At 42.9% G+C, this 18603-nt stretch overlaps 2 protein-coding genes across 45 annotated transcripts in view; one reads left to right on the top strand and one right to left on the bottom strand.

Annotated features, from left to right (window-relative positions):
- CCDC125 (coiled-coil domain containing 125) overlaps positions 1 to 18603 on the top strand; it is a 59763-nt gene that overhangs the window by 38243 nt on the left and 2917 nt on the right. For 17 of the 33 annotated variants that reach the window (XM_047416904.1, NM_001297697.2, XM_047416902.1 and 14 more), the window contains 3 exons: positions 2197 to 2371; positions 9092 to 9222; positions 11525 to 14384. In XM_047416904.1, the coding sequence (XP_047272860.1) occupies positions 2197 to 2371; positions 9092 to 9222; positions 11525 to 11830 (612 nt within the window). In that variant the 3' untranslated portion in view covers positions 11831 to 14384. Of the gene's footprint in view, positions 1 to 399; positions 836 to 2196; positions 2372 to 9091; positions 9223 to 11524; positions 14701 to 18603 lie in introns of those variants that run through there. The other 16 variants (XM_047416907.1, XM_047416906.1, XM_047416895.1 and 13 more) reach the window with 6 other exon arrangements.
- Positions 17129 to 18603, bottom strand: part of CDK7 (cyclin dependent kinase 7) — a 42636-nt gene continuing 41161 nt past the window's right edge. For all 12 annotated transcript variants that reach the window (NR_136690.2, NM_001324077.1, NM_001324072.1 and 9 more), the window contains 2 exons: positions 17869 to 18016; positions 17129 to 17452 (listed from right to left, as the gene is read on the bottom strand). Coding sequence is in view for 11 of the 12 variants with exons in the window: in NM_001324077.1 (NP_001311006.1) it covers positions 17424 to 17452; positions 17869 to 18016 (177 nt within the window). In the remaining variant the exon portion in view is untranslated. The remainder of the gene's footprint in view (positions 17453 to 17868; positions 18017 to 18603) is intronic.

Genomic DNA, 18603 nt, shown 5'->3' with positions numbered 1-18603 from the left:
CACTTTGGGAGGCTAAGGCAGGCAGATCACCTGAGGTCAGGAGTTTAAGACCAGCCTGGCCAACATGGTAAAACCACGTCTCTACTAGCCAGGCATGGTGGCGGTCACCTGTAATCTTAGCTACTTGGGAGGCTGAGGCAGGAGAATCGCTTGAATCCGGGAGGCGGAGGTTGCAGTGAGCCGAGATTACACCACTGCACTCCAGCCTAGGCAACAAGAGTGAAACTCCATCTCCAAGAAAAAAAAAAAAAGTACTTGGCATGATATTTGAAGCTACCTAAAGTCATTTGCCTAAGTTCATAATTAATATTCCTAAAATTTATATGTTCTCATCTATACATGTCCCTAAAATTACTATATAATAGAAGGAAAATGTACATTTATGCTTAAAATCACTAGGATCAGCAACACTGATTAATGGAGAGATAAGCATGGAATGTATTTGAACAGCAGCAAGGCACAGTGAAAGGAACCTTTGTCCCAGCCAGACCTAGGTTTGCATCTTTGCTCCACCATTTACTAGCTGTGTGGCTTTGGACGGGGTAGGTCTTAGTTTTCCTACTATATTAAGTGGAGGGTAATAACTACCTTGGATGATTGTTGTGAGGAAATAGACATAAAATGTTTAGCACAGCACCATGAACATGCCAGACATTAATTCAAATGATAGCTGCCATTATATTTGGTCTTTACTTACAAATACAGTAGTACATGGACCATAATTCTAAAATGTTTTACCTTTATTGAAGGTATGGAATTTAAAGTCCTTAGGTGTGGCAAACCACCATGGCACACATTTACCTAGGTAACAAACCTGCATCCTGCACCTGTATCCTAGAACTTAAAATAGAATAAAATAGGACAAAATTAAATTTAAAAAAATTAAAGTGTTTGGGTTTTTTTTTTTTTTTGAGACGGATTCTTGCTCTGTCGCCCAGGCTGGAATGTAGTGGTGCAATCTCGGCTCACTGCAACCTCCACCTCCTGGTTCAAGTGATTCTCTGCCTCAGGCTCCTGAGTAGCTGGGATTACAGGCGCCTGCCACCACTCCCAGTTAATTTTTGTATTTTTAGTAGAGACGGGGTTTCACTATGTTGGCCAGGCTGGTCTTGAACTCCTGACCTCGTGATCCACCCGCCTTGGCCCCCCAAAGTGCTGGGATTACAGGCGTGAGCCACTGAGCCCAGCCAAAATAAAATCTTTAAAGTATATAGGAAAGCCAACATTTGGACAGTAGCCATTCATTAAGAAAAGCATGAGGGGGCAATGGGTTACACCTGTAATCTCAGCACTTTGGGAGGCTGAGGTGGGAGAATCACTTGAGCCTAAGACGTCACAGTTACAGTGAGCCGTGTTCACATCACTGCACTCTAGCCTGGGTGACAGAGTGAGAGACCCTGTCTCCAAAACAAAAAGAAAGACCGGGCGCAGTGGCTCATGCCTGTAAACCAGCACTTTGGGAGGCCGAGGCGGGTGGATTACCTGAGCTCAGGAGTTCGAGACCAGCCTGGGCAACACAGTGAAACCCCATCTCTACTAAAATACAAAAAATTAGCCAGGCGTGGCAACATGCGCCTATAGTCCCAGCTACTCGAGAGGCAGAGGCAGGAGAATTGCTTGAACCCAGGAGGCGGAGCTTGCAGTGAGCCGAGATCACGACACTGCACTCCAGCCTGGGCGACAGAGCGAGACTCCATCAAAAGAAAAAAAAAAAAGAAGAAGAAGAAAAAAATAGAAGAAAAGAAAAACATGAGATTACATTGATCAAAGTCAAGGTCATCTATAAGACGTATTTGAAAGGTCGTATTCATCATTATTTTCAGTGGTGTGGTCTGGAATGGCCCAAAGCTGAGTTGAAATGCAGCCTTTGGTATCCTCTTATCTTTCATGCTGGGCCCTTTGTCCCAGGACTTGAGCAGGACACACACACAGGGCCTGCATGGGGTAGTGAGGTCCAGGGGTTAGGTTAGCAGGCAGTTGACAGGCACCACAAGGGAAACTGATAATCTGGATCAGAGTAAGTTGCTACTGCAGAAATAGCAAGCATTAATTAGCGTAATCAGATAAACTAGATCAGACCACAGGCAATAAACCAGTGCTAGGCAGTGAGATTGCATATGTTAATTTGATTCCCCATTCAGCAAGAATTGTTCTGGTTTTGCCTCTGACACCTCCCAAACTGTCTTTCAAAATCAGTTGGAAATTTTGCAGAAGAGTAAAGAAGAAGCTTACGTGATGGCAGATGCTTTCAGAATTGCATTTGAGCAACAATTAATGAGAAAAAATGACCAGGCACTACAATTGACACAAATGGATAAAATGCATAAAAAAGCAACAAAATGGATGAATTGGAAGCACCTTAAAGAGGATGGTAACTATGAATTATAATGGCAATAAGTGGGTGTAATTTTAGTTGTTTTGTTTATAATCCAAGTTGATGAAGCACACTTAATCCAATGTGGGCAAAAATAATTGAAACTTCACATATGGTTGTGGTTTACTTAAAAACTTAGCAACTATGGAAAAAAAGGAGTCATTGGATATTACATGTGCAGGTGAACTACTGGAATCCATAAACCATAACATAACAGGAATATTTATTTTCTAGTACTCTTCTGTTTCATTTAAATAAGACCATGTTTAGTGAAAAAACTTTACAATAAAAGTGCTAGGTGATTAAAAGGAAACTGCCAAGAAGGAAGTAATGTGAAAAATGTCACTTAAACATGACATTAAATGTATCTATCTAATTAAACTTTATTGAAATGTATGCTTTTGAGAAGGAAATTGAGGAATAGAGGAAAAACCTTAAGTTGGACAAATTAATAAAATATTCTTAGAAAAAATGAAGCAGAAGTTTAGGTTTAGGTTTTGGTTCACGAACCCATCAAAAATTTATGGCCAGGCTGGGTGTGGTGGCTCACGCCTGTAATCCTAGCACTTTGAGAGGCCAAGGAGGGTGGATCACCTGAGGTCAGGAGTTCGAGAACAGCCTGGCCAACATGGCAAAACCCCATCTCTACTAAAAACACAAAAATTAGCCGGGCGTGGTAGCACATGCCTGTAATACCACCTGCTCAGGAGGCTGAGGCAGAAGAATCGCTTGAACCCAGGAGGCAGAGGTTGCAGTGAGCTGAGATCGCGCCACTGCACTGGGCGACGGAATGAGACTCCATCTCAAAAAAAAAAAAATGATCAGTATTGAGTATTATTATATCTGTGTATTAAAAAATATATTAAAATAGCATGAGAGAATTGAAGTAGATCTTCCAGTATGAACAAAGTAGCTGTTATTTTTTAGAAATCTGTTTCTCTAAGTAGTTCATACCAATTTTTATTCATCAGTATTATTCTGTAGAATTCATATTGCTTCAGTTTAAAATGTCAAATTATAATTTGAAACCATTTATCAGTTGAGAAAGAATCAAGTGAAGTTTATAAGAATTTTAAATGTTTTGTAGAAAAATTCTAGGATGACTGTATTTCTAAATATTTTCTTATCTGTCAGATCTATAATTCTAACATCTCTTATATTCAGGTGAATTTAGAAAGACTAATACACATCTTGTAATATTTAAAATGATCTTAGGGGAACACCATCATAGAAAATATTTAAAATGGAACCTGTTGGCTGGGCGTCGTGGCTCATGCCTGTAATCCCAGCACTTTGGGAGGCCGAGGTGGGTGGATCATTTGAGGTCAGGAGTTTGAGACCAGCCTGGCCAACATGGTGAAACCCTGCCTCTACTAAAAATACAAAAATTAGCCGGGCTTGGTCGCAGGCGCCTGTAGTCCCAGCTACTTGGGAGGCTGAGGCAGGAGAATTGCTTGAACCTGGGAAGTGGAGGTTGCAGTGAGCCAAGATTGCACTACTGCACTCCAGCCTGGGGGAAAGAGCAAGACTGTCTCAAACAAAAAAAAAAAAAAAAGAAAAAAAAGAAAAAAAAAAGAAACCTGGCCATGTGCGGTGGCTCAGGCCTGTAATCCCAGCACTTTGGCAGGCTGAGGCAGGCAGATCACCTGAGGTCAGGAGTTCAAGACCAGCCTGGCCAACATTGAGAAACCCCATCTCTACTAAAAATACAAAAATTAGCTGGGTGTGATGGCACTCACCTGTAATCCCAGCTACTCGGGAAGCTGAGGCAGGAGAATCGCTTGAACCTGGAAGGCAGAGGTTGCAGTGAGCCAAGATTGCGCCACTGTACTCTAGCCTGGGTGACAGAGCAAGACTCTGTCTCAAAATAATAATAATAATAGTAATAATAATAATAATAATAAAATGAAAGCTTTATAGTAGATAGCCATTTTGTTTGAAATATTTATTTTCAAACAGTATATATTACTAATAGTATAGGAGTCAGCTGTCGTGAATTTTAGTTTCATTAACTAAGCTTTCCCCCTTTTCTTTGCTGAAAAGGGTAAGAAGTGATGCAGAGGGATGATAGAAATAGAAGCAGTAAATCAGAACTACAGAGTAGGGAAATGCAGATCATAGAAGCTACATGTTTGGAGTGTTCATTAGATGGAAGCCAGGACAAAACAGGAAAATATAATGTTTTGTAACACTTATTCTGAGAAAGTCATTCATATTTTCTTGAAATTAATTTCTAAAAATGTTTTCTGACACGAAACTTTTGAGAAAATATAATGGCTAAATTCCCGACAGTGTTTTAGTAGCTTTTTTTTTTTTTTTTTTGAGGCAGCATCTTATCCTGTTGCCCAGGCTGGAGTGCAGTGGTGTGATCATGACTCACTGCAGCCTCTACCTCATGGGCTCAAGCAATCCTCCCACCTCAGCCTCCCTAGCAGCTGGGACTTCAGGCATGTGCCACCATGCCAGGCTAAATTTTGTATTTGTTTATAGAGATGAGGTCTCACTGTGTTACCCAGGCTGGTCTCAAACTCCTGGGCTCAAGCGGTCCTCCCTCCTCGGCCTCCCAAAATGCTGTGGTTACAGATGTGATCCACTGCACCTGGCCAACAATGTCTTATAATAAATACAAAATAATGTATTTAGATAATATGGTCATTTTCTATAATAAACTCTTCATAAAAGCTGAAGGTACAACTTTAATGTTCAATCCAGGTTAGGTGATTTTGCCAGGGAAAAAGCTAACATGGTCCATGTATTTAGCCTTTTAGGAACCAGTGGAAAACACTAAGAATACCTGGTTCTACCACGGACCACAGCTATGTGTAGATAATCTTCCTCAGACACCTCCTCTCTCAGCTAAGCCCTTAATAGCAGTTGGATTGTAAAATCCTCTTTGAGGACAGCCCTGGTGTTTTGTGCTAATTGAAGGCAGATCTTCTTAGAAAGTCAGATTGTAAATATTTGTTTGTTTTGATAGAGGTGGAAAGAAAAGTGATGGGAAAAAGAAGAGACGAAGGGGAAAGTCAGGGTTAAAGTAATCTTAATCTTACGAATGCCTGTCAGACCCTGTCACCTGCCTGCAAGGCCTGCAACCCTGTGTGGAGCTTGGCCATTAGGATAGTGCAGTGTAGACAAAGCTGCATTTTTCTCAAGAGCTAGATTCATACTCATTTCAGCACTTGAGAATATGTGCATTTGATGTTCCATAATTCCTACCTTCCACAGTGTAAGAGACAGGGGAAACCAAAGTGTTTTCCTATTCACACAGCACTTACCACTCAGCTCAGCGCTTCTGACACCAGATGCTAGGGGTGGGGGATTCCCCACACACCAGCTGGGTATCCTATCATTTCCCTCAATTCTCACACTGTCTACCTGGAGTTAGAGTCAGATCCCATAAGTTAAAGGCTCAGTCCCACAAGATGGCCTGCACTCCAAATGCCAGTCAAAAGCACAGAGTTGTCTCTGCTGCTCCTGACTGACTGGCTGTATGTACATTGGGACTCCCATGACGCCCTCCTCAGGCTCCATTGATTTGCTAGGATGCCTCACAGAACTCCGGGAAACACTTCCGTTTACCAGTTTATTATAAAGGATCTTACAAAGGATGCAGATGAACAGCCAGATAAAGAGATGGACAGGGCAAGGCACGTGGGAAGGGATGCTCTCTTTGGCGTACCACCCCTCAGGAACCTCACATGCTCAGCTATCTGGAAGCTCCCCAGACCCTTTTGGGTTTTTATGGAGGCTTCATTACATGGACACGGTACATCACTGGCCATTGGTGATTACATCATTGGCCATTGGTAATCAACTCAACCTTCAGCCCCTCTCGCTTCCCTGGAGTTTGGGGGCTAGGGCTGAAAGTTCCAGCTTTCTAATCACAAGATTGGTTCCCCTGGCAACCAGCCCCCATCCTGAGGCTATCCAGGAGCCCATCAAGAGCCTCATTAGAACAAAAGATGCTTCTATTACCCAGGAAATTCCAAGGGATTTAGGGGCTCTGTGTCAGATGCTCCTAGCACTGAGGAAATTACAGTCTTAAGAATTGTGTGTTAGGAACTGGGGTCAAAGACCAACTATGAGAAAAGATTCACCTAACACCCCTATCTACTAGGATTTTAGGAGCTCTATGTCAGGAACTGAGGGCAAAGACCAAATATATATTTCTTATATTACAATATCACATTCAGCTATTGACAAATCTAAGGAAGATTCCCACAAAAAATGCAATTCAGAGGGGTATAGCTCCCAATCTCTGAGTTCCAGTAAGGCACTGAGAGAGACTGAAGGCAGAATTTTAAATAATTGATATAGGCAGGGCACAGTGGCTCATGCCTGTAATCCCAGCGCTTTGGGAGGCTGAGGCAGGAGGATTGCTTGAGCTCAGGAGTTTGAGACCAGGCTGGGCAACATAGGGAGACCCTGTCTCTATTAAAAAAAAAAAAATAGCCAAGTGTGGTGGTAGATACCTGTGGTCTCAGCTACTAGGGAGGCTGAAGTGGGAGGATCGCTTGAGCCTGGGAGGCTGAGGCTGCAGTGAGTCATGATCCCACCACTGCAGTCCAGCCTGGGTGATGGAGCAAGACCCTGTCTCAAAAAAAAAAAACCACCAAAAACTGATGGCCGGGTGCAGTGGCACGCCTGTAATCTCAGGACTTTGGGAGGCTGAGGTGGGTGGATCACTTGAGGTCGGGAATTTGAGACCAGCCTGACCAACATGGAGAAACCCTGTCTCTACTAAAAATACAAAATTGGCTGGGTGTGGTGGCACAAGCCTGTAATCCCAGCTACTCGGGAGGCTGAGGCAGGAGAAATGTTTGAACCCGGGAGGCAGAGGTTGTGGTGAGCCAAGATTGCGCTGTTGCACTCCAGCCTGGGCGACAAAAGCGAGACTCCATCTCAAAAAAAAAAAAAAAAATTGATTAATCTCGCACAGCTTTTATAAATCTATACAAGTTTGAGTAGTTCTTTCTCAGTTTCTCAGTGACAAGACTTTAATTCATTTTATTAGTATATTTCAGTAATCTTAAGAGGTACAGGGTGATACAGATTATTTTATGTTTAGTAACACTTAATATCAACTTTCTTTTTGATATGGCAGTTTAGACAAGTTTCCGGAAGTAGTTTATAGGCATACTTCTTTCTTTCTTTGTATTTTTGCTTTTGGGTTTTTTTTTTTTTTTTTTTATCTTAAACTCCTGGGCTTAAGCAATCCTCCAGACTACCAGCTTGAGCCATCACACCAAGCTATTTCTTTTTTTAGACTGAAAATAGGGACACAGATTCATCTACTCATCAAAGTGTCAGTTTCTCTGACTTCTGTTTGCCACAGCTCCTCGTGGAAGGGGTCAGGGCCGCCCTCGTCACTGTGGTCTGTCAGGATTGGTGGGAAGGGGATCTCCCCTCATCTGCTCTCAGTTTCCCACTAAACCACTTTTGGAGAATATTCCAAAAACATTCTTGAAATTTTCCTTGTACAATCTGAGATTTTATAACTTCTGCAAATTACTTTCCTTCAATGGATGAAGAAGGACATCAATGATGTCAGCACGTGAAATATTAAATATTATGCTAATACCTGAGCAGGGCCTTTGACAATTGTGGTATTTTTTGTTGTTGTCGTGATGGTGGTAAAATATATCTAAAGTTGGCCGGGCGCGGTGGCTCACGCCTGTAATCCCAGCATTTTGGGAGGCCAAGAGGGGGCGAATCATGAGGTCAGGAGATCGAGACCATCCTGGCTAACACAGTGAAACCCCATCTCTACTAAAAATACAAAAAAATTAGCCGGACGTGGTGGCGGGCGCCTGTAGTCCCAGCTACTCGGGAGGCTGAGGCAGGAGAATGGCGCGAACCCGGGAGGCGGAGCTTGCAGTGAGCCGAGATTGCGCCACTGCACTCCAGCCTGGGTGACAGAACAAGACTCCATCTAAAAAAAAAAAAAAATTATATATATATATATATATATATATATATATATATATATATATATAGTTTACCATTTGAACTGTTTTTAAGTGGTATTAAGTATATTCACATTGTAATGTAACCTTCATCACCATCCAGCTCCAGAACATTTTCATCTTTCTTTACAGAGACCCTGTCCCATGAAACAGTAACTCCTCACTTCCCCTTCTCCAGCCCGTGTGATTTATTATTTAATGGCACAGTTCCCTGAGAAGAAGGTAATGCTATTCTCATTTTAGAGATGAGGAAATCAAGCTGAGAAAAGTCACCCGAGGTCATACAGTTAGTAAGTGGCTGAATGAGGATTCAAGTCCAGGTCTTTGCTGTTCGGAAGCAGAGTTTGCATGGCTCAGAGGCCCCCTGTGGCCTGCAGACATGTTTTGTTAGGTTGGCTTAGTGTAGTCAAACAATAAGACTAGTGGCTGACATTTAGAATTGGAAGATGTCATGACAGATCTGCATTTCTGGCTGCTCTTGAAGACTGTGATGATCCAGTGACATGGACTGTGTTCTTGTGTGGCCTGTGTGTCAGCTGGCACAGAGGGGTGGCTGTGCCGCATGGCAGGGCGGCACTCTTGCTGCCTCTCACCTGCATTGCTCCTGGCTCTGAAGGCTGTGCTCTGCTCACTACATTCCACTGTGTGCTCCTGGACTCACTTGTCCTAGAGATCAAGTTACCTCTTTTGCTGGAAGTATATCAGTGAGGATATTTTAATGTCTCAGCTGGATTCTCATGTTCAATTTTAGGATTTCCATCACCAAGGAGTAAGAAGACCTTCGGGCAGAGACTGTTGGGTATGCTCCCTTCAGAAAACAGTTCTAAGAGGATGGAAGACCAGGACAGTCCTCAAGAGGTCCTTAAGATGCTCATAGATTTGGTTAGTGTCTTTGCTTTTTTTTGCAGGTTATGGTTAAGCCAAGCTTGTCCAACCCACGGTCCGTGGGGAGCATGCAGCCCAGAACAGCTTTGAATGTGGCCCAACACAAATTCGTAAACTTTCTTAAAACATTATGAGATCTTTTTGATATATATATATATTTTTTTAGTTCATCAGCTATCATTAGTGTTAGTGTATTTTTTTGTTTTGTTTGTTTTTTGGTTTTTTTGTTTGTTTGGTTTTTGAGACAGAGTCTCTGTCACCCAGGCTGGAGTGCAGCGGCGCGATCTCGGCTCACTGCAACCTCCACCTCCCGGGTTCAAGCAATTCTCCTGCCTCAGCCTCTAGAGTAGCTGGGACTGCAGGCGCCCACCACCACGCCTGGCTAATTTTGTGTGTGCGTTTTTAGTAGAGACAGGATTTCACCATGTTGGCCAGGCTGGTCTCAAACTCCTGACCTCAAGTGATCTGCCCACCTCGGCATCCCAAAGTGCTGGGATTACAGGCGTGACCCACCATGCCCAGCCAGTGTTAGTGTATTTTATGTGTGGCCCAAGACAATTCTTCTTCTTCCAGTGTGGCCCAGGGAAGCCAAAAGATTGGACACCCCTAGGTTAAGCTAATCTATTTGCTTCCTGTTAATTCAACTCTTTATCTCTCTAGACTTGCACTTGCCTTCTATGTCCTTTTCCCAGTTGGAGTACCAGACTCTACCTTCATGATCTTTATCTCCCTCAGCTCATCTTTTCTCGTCATTCATATTCTTTCTGTGCAGGTTTAAAGGCTCCATCTTGGAAAACAGGGGGCTCCTGTAGTTAACTCCAGCCAGCTTTGCCATCTACATTTATATATATACAGTTTGTGACAAGTCTGCCTGTTTATTGAGGCATTTTTAAAGTGTTCAAGGCATTTCCTCACACATTATATCCTTTACAGTCCTGCTACCCACATTCCACATGGAATGACTAAACTAAGACACTGAGACTCAGGTTATATGAACATACTTATCTCTAGACTGTTATATATTTGCATACAAATATATGAAAGCAATTTTATATACAAATAACTTCAACATTATTTTATAAATATGCACGTTGATATATTTTTTATATGTTGATATTATATACCTATATATACACACTTCATATAGATCTATATTTTCCCTTCATTTCCAGATGACTTGCAAAATTTTCAATGCTGTCTTCTGTTTTTTTTTTTAAAAAATTATTTTTAAAAAATAATCGTCGGGGCTGGGCACAGTGGCTCATGCCTGTAATCCCAGCACTTTGGGAAGCCGAGGCGGGTGGATCATGAGGTCAGGAGATCGAGACCATCCTGACTAACACGGTGAAACTGTCTCTACTAAAAATACAAAAAATTAGCCAGGTGTGGTGGCTGGCACCTGTAGTCCCTAGCTACATGGGAGGCTGAGACAGGAGAATGGTGTGAACCCAGGAGAGCGGAGCTTGCAGTGAGCCAAGATCATGCAACTGCACTCCAACCTGGGTGACAGAGCGAGACTCTGTCTCAAAAAAAAAAAAAAATTGTCAGCCTGGCATGGTGGCACACATCTGTAATTCCAGCACTTTGGGAGGCCGAGGCGAGTGGATCACTTGAGGCCAGGAGTTCGAGACCAGCCTACAAAAATTAGCAAGGTGTGGTGGTGCACGCCTATAGTCCCAGCTACTCTACTCGGGAGGGTGAGGCCCAAGAATCACTTGAGCCTGGGAGGCAGAGGCTGCAGTGAGCCAAGATGGCATCACTGCATTCCAGCCTGGGCAACAGAGCCAGACCCTGTCTTAAAAAAAAAAAGAATTGGCCGGGCACGGTGGCTCACGCCTGTAATCCCAGCACTTTGGGAGGCCAAGGTGGGCTGATCACAAGGTCAGGAGATTCAGACCATCCTGGCAAACACAGTGAAACCCCGTCTCTACTAAAAAATGCAAAAAATTAGCTGGGTGTGGTGGCGGGCACCTGTGGTCCCAGCTACTTGGGAGGCTGAGGCAGGAGAATAGTGTGAACCTGGGAGGCAGAGCTTGCAGTGAGTGGAGATAGTGCCACTGCACTCCAGCCTGGGTGACAGAGCCAGACTCCGTCTCAAAAAAAAAAAAAAAAAGATTCATGAATAACATGTAGTATAATGTTTGGGGATCAGGTGATACCTAATTTATTCATACTGATGGACAGATCAGTATGAATATTAGGGTTGAATAACTTGATAAAATAGTACAATACTCCTTTCTCTGAATATATTCTGTGATTTATTGACTAACTTGTACATGTTTAATTTCTGTGCATGCAGCTTAATGATAAAGAAGAAGCTTTGGCTCATCAAAGAAAAGTTAGCTACATGCTTGCTCGGGCATTGGAAGACAAAGACACTGCTTCAAACGAGAATAAAGAAAAAAATCCTATAAAAGAGAATTTCCCTTTCAACAACCCCTGGCGTAAGACTTCAGAATTCTCTGTTTTGGGTGATCCTATACATTCAAGTGTCTGCATTTTAAATTCTGTGGGCTGCATTTGTTCAATCCAGCACTCTCAAATAGATCCAAACTATAGAACTCTTAAAAGATCCCATTCTTTGCCATCAAGTATCATATTTTAAAGACAAGCCAGTTGAAATTGGAACTGAGAGTTGTTTATATCGAGATACTTTGAAAAATGATTTTGTAAATTTTGCTGCATCTTGAGAAGTTGTATGTTTCCTAGGTATTTCTAAATTTTAGGAGGTCACTTAAATCAAATATTTTCTACATTTTCTTTTTCTTCTTTTGAGATGGAGTCTTGCTCTGTCACCCAGGTTGGAGTGCAGTGGTGTGATCTCGGTTCACTGCAACCTCCGCCTCCCGGTTCAAGCAATTCTCCTGCCTCAGCCTCCCGAGTAACTCGGATTACAGGCATGTGCCACCACGCCCAGCTAATTTTTGTATTTTTAGTAGAGACGGGGTTTTACCATGTTAGCCAGGCTGATCTTGAACTCCTGACCTCAAGTGATCCGCCTGCCTTGGCCTCCGAAAGTGCTGGGATTACAGGCGTGAGCCACCACACCCAGCCTATTTTCTACATTTTCTACAAGAAATTAGTATTCTGTGTTGACATTTTATTTATAAATTACATTACTGTATTTATAAATTACATTACAGGCTGGGCATGGTGGCTCATGCTTATAAATCCCAGCACTTTGGGAGGCCAAGGTGGGTGGGTCACCTGAGGCTGGAGTTCAAGACCAGTCTGACCAACATGGAGAAACCCCATCTCTACTAAAAATACAAAAAATTAGCTAGGCCTAGTGGCGCATGCCTGTAATCCCAGCTACTTGGGAGGCTGAGGTAGGAGAATCGCTTGAACCTGGGAGGCGGGGGTTGTGGTAAGCCGAGACTGTGTCATTGCACTCCAGCCTGGGCGACAAGAGCGAAACTCTGTCTCAAAAAAAAAAAAAAACACATTACAGTGTTTGCCAACATCCTAAAACAAAAAATAATGATTTTTGGGAAAAACAAAAAATTATTTAACTATTTTGATTGACTATAGGGATCTTAGCTTGGCTAAATCAACAATATAGCAATGTATCTTAATGCTCTAAAAAGTAACAATACCTAGGACTGACTGAATGTTAATTTCTGGAATTCATTTATCTTGTTTTATTTGCCTTGTTCAGTATTTTTCATTTACCATATGAAGTTTAGAAATAACAATTTCCTTAAGTTAACTTCAATAAGACAGTTTTGATGGTGGGACCTTGGCAGAAGTATATTGAGTCAGTGCCGGCTGCGTTCATGGCTTCTTGTCAGGGTAGTAACATTTTGCAACCAAATCTGCACAGATTTGTAGCCAAGTCTACAAAGTGCTTAACAGCTCTTTTCATTGCATCCTGTGAGATGGTTGTGATGATCCAGGAAATGGGGTCTCAGGAATCTGAAGAAGCTGCCTGAGCCAAGGTGATTTCTAGGAGTTTTTTTGTTTGTGGTATGTGAATTGGGGTGTGTGGGGGTGGGGTGTGTGTGTAGACAGGGTCCCACTGTGTTGCTCAGGCTGGTGCCAAACTCCTGGCCTCAAGGGATCCTCCTGCCTCAGCCTCTCAAAGTGCTGGGATTACAGGCATAAACCACAACTCAATAAAAAAGTTTTTAAAAATTTACAAAGCTCATATTTGATCCAGCTAGGATTTTACCCTGTACATTTGTATTTCTTGTAGGCTGGCGCACAGATATCTTAAATGGCTACTAATTGCTGCTGTGTATGAAAACAAATGGCTATCAAGGCCGGGTGCAGTGGCTTACAGATCTGGTCTGAATCTCAAGTCCAGACCAGTCCAGAGTTCAAGACCAGCCTGGGCAACATGGTGAAACCCCATCTATACAAAAACTCGGCAAGGCATGGTGGCATGCACCTGTTGTCCCAGCTACTCAGGGGCTGAGGCAGGAGGATGGCATGAGCCCAGGAGCTTGAGGCTGCAGTGAGCTGTGATTGTGCCACTGCACTCCAGCCTGAGTGACAGAGTGAGACCCCCATCTCCAAAAGAAAAGGCTATCAATACAAAAGTTTATCTAAATTACTGTACAGCTATACAATGGAATACTCTACAAAATGGAGAGATCCATAAGATAAAGCAAATGAATAAAGCAAAATGCATGTGTTGACAGCTGTTGTGATACCTCAGTTCTTGTCTTCTTGGTTTAAAAGAATTTAAATGAGACAGCAAAGGAGATGCAGCATAATTTATTGCAAAAGAAAAGGAGTATTTTGAAAGTTAGGTGCAGAACAGACAGTACACCTGAGAGAGAGAATTCAGGGCCGGCTGCTCGTAAGGGTGAGACAGCATTGATTATTGCTGGAGAAACTCCCTTTATGGGAGTTTTGCATTATTATTCATAAGGAGGTGAGGTGTTGCAGTAATCATGTCCTGGGTGGTCCTCTGCACAGGTGCAGTAGCTGTTAATGCTTGTTCATACACCACATGTCTCAGTAGCATCTTAAATTTCCACCTAGAGGTGTGTTTTTTATTATTATCATGTGCAAAGGATCAGTTTGAGGACAGGTAAAATCAAAATGTGTATGCTCTCTAGAAGGGAAAGTCCCTACTGAAGATAGCTTTGCTTAAATGAGCTCAATTACAATGTGAATGCTGAGGTTTATTGTGTTGGCTGTATGGTCATGAGAAAATGGTCATTTCCTTGACTACCTGATACGGTTTGGCTGTGTCCCCACCCAAGTCTTATTTTGAATTGTAATCCCCATAATTCCCACATGTTGAAGGAGGGACTTGGTGGTAGGTGACTGGATCATGGGGGTGGTATCCCCCATGCTGTTCTCATGATTGTGAGTTCTCACGAGATCCAATGGTTTTATACATGGTAGTCTCTCCTGCTGCCATGTAAAACATGCCTGCTTCCCCTTCTGCCAGGATTGTAAGTTTCCTGAGGCCTGCCCAGCCATGTGGAGCTATGAGTCAATTAAACCTCTTTCCTTTATAAATTACTGAGTCTTGGGTAGTATTCTTTATAGCAGTTTGAGAACGGAATAATACACTCCTATCCTGCCTCACGTGTTAGACACATTTTGAGTGTCCTCAGATCCCTTTGGCGCTATTATCTCCTGGACTCTTAGCTGCTTGGCTGCTTCTCCCTTGGCAGCTCCCTGTCTACACACACACACGAGGAAGTCAGACAGATTTGAAGCACGAGTGGGTTTGATGCACTGCTGCTGTCCTGTGGTGAGTGCCACAGGACAAAGGCATGGAAGTTTCCTTAAGAAGCTGAGAGAGGCCCTGGGCTAACAGTCAAAAGGGAAATGGGGGCAATGGAGCACAAGAATTGCAACTATAAGAACTGCATGAGCGGCCGGGCACGGTGGCTCACGCCTGTAATCCCAGCACTTTGGGAGGCCAAGGTGGGCGGATCACGAGGTCAGGAGATAGAGACCATCCTGGCTAACACAGTGAAACCCCGTCTCTACTAAAAATACAAAATATTAGCTGGGCGTGGTGGCGGGCACCTGTAGTCCCAGCTACTCGGGAGGCTGAGGCAGGAGAATGGGTGAACCCAGTGGGCGGAGGTTGCAGTGAGCCGAGATCGTGCCACTGCACTCCAGCCTGGGCGACAGAGCAAGACTCCATCTCCAAAAAAAAAAAAAAAACAAACCTGCATGAGCTTGGTAGCAGATTCTTTCCAGGGGCCTCCAAATAAAACTAGTTTGACTAACACCTTGATTTTGGCCTTGTGAGACCCTAAGCAGAAAACACAGCTGAGCCAGATATATGGCCTACAGAACTGTGAGCTAATACATTTGTGTTACTTTAATTAGCTGGGCATGGTGGTACACATTTGTAATCCCAGCTACTTGGGAGGCTAAGGTAGGAGGATCACCTGAACCCCAGGATGCAGAGGTTACAGTGAGCTGAGATTGCACCACTGCACTCCAGCCTGGGCAACAGAGCAAGACTCTGTCTCATTAAAAAAAAAAAAAAAATTAACCAGGCATGGTGGTATGCACCTGTAGTCCCAGCTACTGGGGACAGAGGTGGAAGGATGGCTTGAGCCCAGGAGTTCGAAGCTGCAGTGAGCCATGATTGCACTACTACACTCCAACCTGGGCAACAGAGACTATCTCACAAAAAAAAAAAAAAAAAAAGGAGAGAGAGATTCTATCAATTTATATACAATTTTGAGACCCAAAACAATGCTGTACATTGTTATGCATCTCACTACATGCACTCTTACAGAATACTAGCATAAAATCATGGAAAGATACACACCAATTTCATAGAGTCATTTCCCTCTGGGGAAAGTGAAAAGGAAAAAATAGAAATAAAGTGAAGTATTGGCTGGGCGCGGTGGCTCACACCTGTAATCCCAGCACTTTGGGAGGTCAAGGCAGGTGGATGAAAAGGTCAGGAGTTCGAGACCAGCCTGGCCAATATGGTGAAACCCCATCTCTACTAAAAATACAAAAAAAAAAAAAATTAGCCAGGCGTGGTGGCACATACCTGTAACCCCAGCTACTTGGGAGGCTGAGGCAGGAGAACTGCTTGAATCCAGGAGGTGGAGGTTGCAGTGAGCCAAGATCGCACCACTGCACTCCAGCCTGGGTGACAGAGCGAGACTCCATCTCAAAAAAAAATAAAATAAAGTGAATTTTTAAGAGGGAACCTCTGGCCAGGTGTAGTGGCTCATGCCTGTAATCCCAGCACTTTGGGAAGCCGAGGTGGGCAGATCACTTCAGGTCAGGAATTAGAGGCCAGCCTGGCCAACATGGTGAAATCCTGTCTCTACTAAAAATATAAAAAAAATTAGGCAGGTGTAGTGGTGCGTGCCCATAATCCCAGCTGCTCAGGAGGCTGAAGCAAGTGAATCACTTGAAGGCAGAGTTTGCAGTGAGCTGGGATTGTGCCCCTGCACTCCAACCTGAGTGACAGAGTGAGACTTTGTCCCCCGCCTCAGAAAAAAGGTTGGGGGGAATCTCAATTTTATCTGTAATGTTTTCTTTTTTTAGTACATTCCGTATATTAATATTTGTTAAGTTTGGGTAGTATTTACTACACCACTACTACATTTTTTTTTTTTTTGAGACTGTGTCTTGCCCTGTCACCCAGGCTGGAGTACAGTGGCGCCATCTTGGCTCACTGCAAGCTCTGCCTCCCGGGTTCTCGCCATTCTCCTGCCTCAGCCTCCTGAGTAGCTGGGACTACAGGCGCCCACCACCACGCCCAGCTAATTTTTTTTGTATTTTTAGTAGAGACGGGGTTTCACCGTGTTAGCCAGGATGGTCTCGATCTCCTGACCTGTGATCCGCCCGCCTCGGCCTCCCAAAGTGCTGGGAATACAGGCGTGAGCCACCGCGCCCGGCCAACATTTTTATTTTTAAACACTACCCATGCTACTACAGATTTGTGATACTATATGGGTCAGATCTTCCAAATAACTGGTAATAATTTTTATTAAGTTTTCCCTAATGCATTTTCAATTCTACATTTCAAGAGTATTGAACTTTTCTCACTTTTGCACTCTAATCAGAAAAACCAGAATTAAATTTTTATTTTAAAATACATTTAATAAAAATAACCCATAGTTTTACATATTTTACATGTGTAGAATATTTACAAACTCACTTCTACAGCATTTACTTAATGTTTACTATTTTTCCATTATTTGCCTTTTTGGCTATTTCCCTCAGTAGTAAAATGTTGTCCAGTGTTCTCTTTAAAAAATTAGTTTCTTGGGCAATCCTCCTAGGAAGCAAAAAGAACAAGAAAAAAAAAAGTTGTTCACATTTAACAAAGTTCACATTCTCATAGCAATTTTAACCAGTCACTGCATTCCAACTACATTATTTCACTGACACATTTTTTCCAGTAGCACTTGTTAAACATTTAGCATGTAGTTTACAGAAGGAATTTATGAAGGGAACAAGGTACACATACATAGTTCCCATAATTCTGAGGTATACACAAAAGCTGCCGAAGTATTCACAATGAAAGTAAACATACCTAAAACGGCACAGTCTCTCTACTTTATACAATTAAATTTATAAAAATTAAATAGCTAGCAAGCTACATTTCTTTGCTGTTGTTCAGTCGCTAGCCATACACGAGCTATTTGGAGTTTTCTAAATTCATTTAATTTCTTTTAAAAGTGGGAATCTTACCTTGTTCTAAGGCCTCTGTTCTTTTCCTTTTTATTGCCAAAGCTGGATTTGATTGCTCCTTTAAGGTTTCCACTGGACAGTTTGGTCTTGGCAGCTGACATCCAGGTGTTGGCCCTGGCCGATTACTGAAATACTTCATTTTCAGTGCCTTTTAAAAGAAAAGATACCAAAAGTAAGGTAGGTGAGTATCTGAAATGTGTTAAGGAAAATCTTACCTTCAAGATTATAGGGAGCATTAAAAATACTATGTGAATGCCCTCATTCCCAACAAAACAAAATTAATGTCAAGTATTTGCAAATGGAAATTACTACAAATAAATACCTAGGATCCTAAGATTGGCTGATAATTCCATTAAAAGACTGGCCGGGCACAGTAGCTCATGCCTGTAATCCCAGCACCTTGGGAGGCTGAGGCGGGTGGATCACATGAGGTCAGAAGTTCGAGATCAGCTTGGCCAACGTGGCGAAACTCCATCTCTACTAAAAATACAAAAATAAGCTGGGCGTGGTGGTGCATGTCTGTAGTCCCCACTACTCGGGAGGCTGAGGTAGGAGAATCGCTTGAACCCAGAGGCAGAGGTTGCAGTGAGCCGAGATCGCACCACTGCACTCCAGCCTGGGCGACAGAGCAAGGCTCCGTATCAAAAAAAGAAAAGAAAAAAAGACTCCCTTCTAATTTTTCCATAATTAAATAGCCTATACAGGCTGAATATATCTTATCTAAAATGCTTGGGA

This window comes from Homo sapiens, chromosome 5 (assembly GCF_000001405.40).
Source record: "Homo sapiens chromosome 5, GRCh38.p14 Primary Assembly".
Taxonomy (NCBI): Eukaryota; Metazoa; Chordata; class Mammalia; order Primates; family Hominidae; genus Homo; species Homo sapiens.
This window is presented reverse-complemented; position numbering and strand designations above follow the sequence as displayed.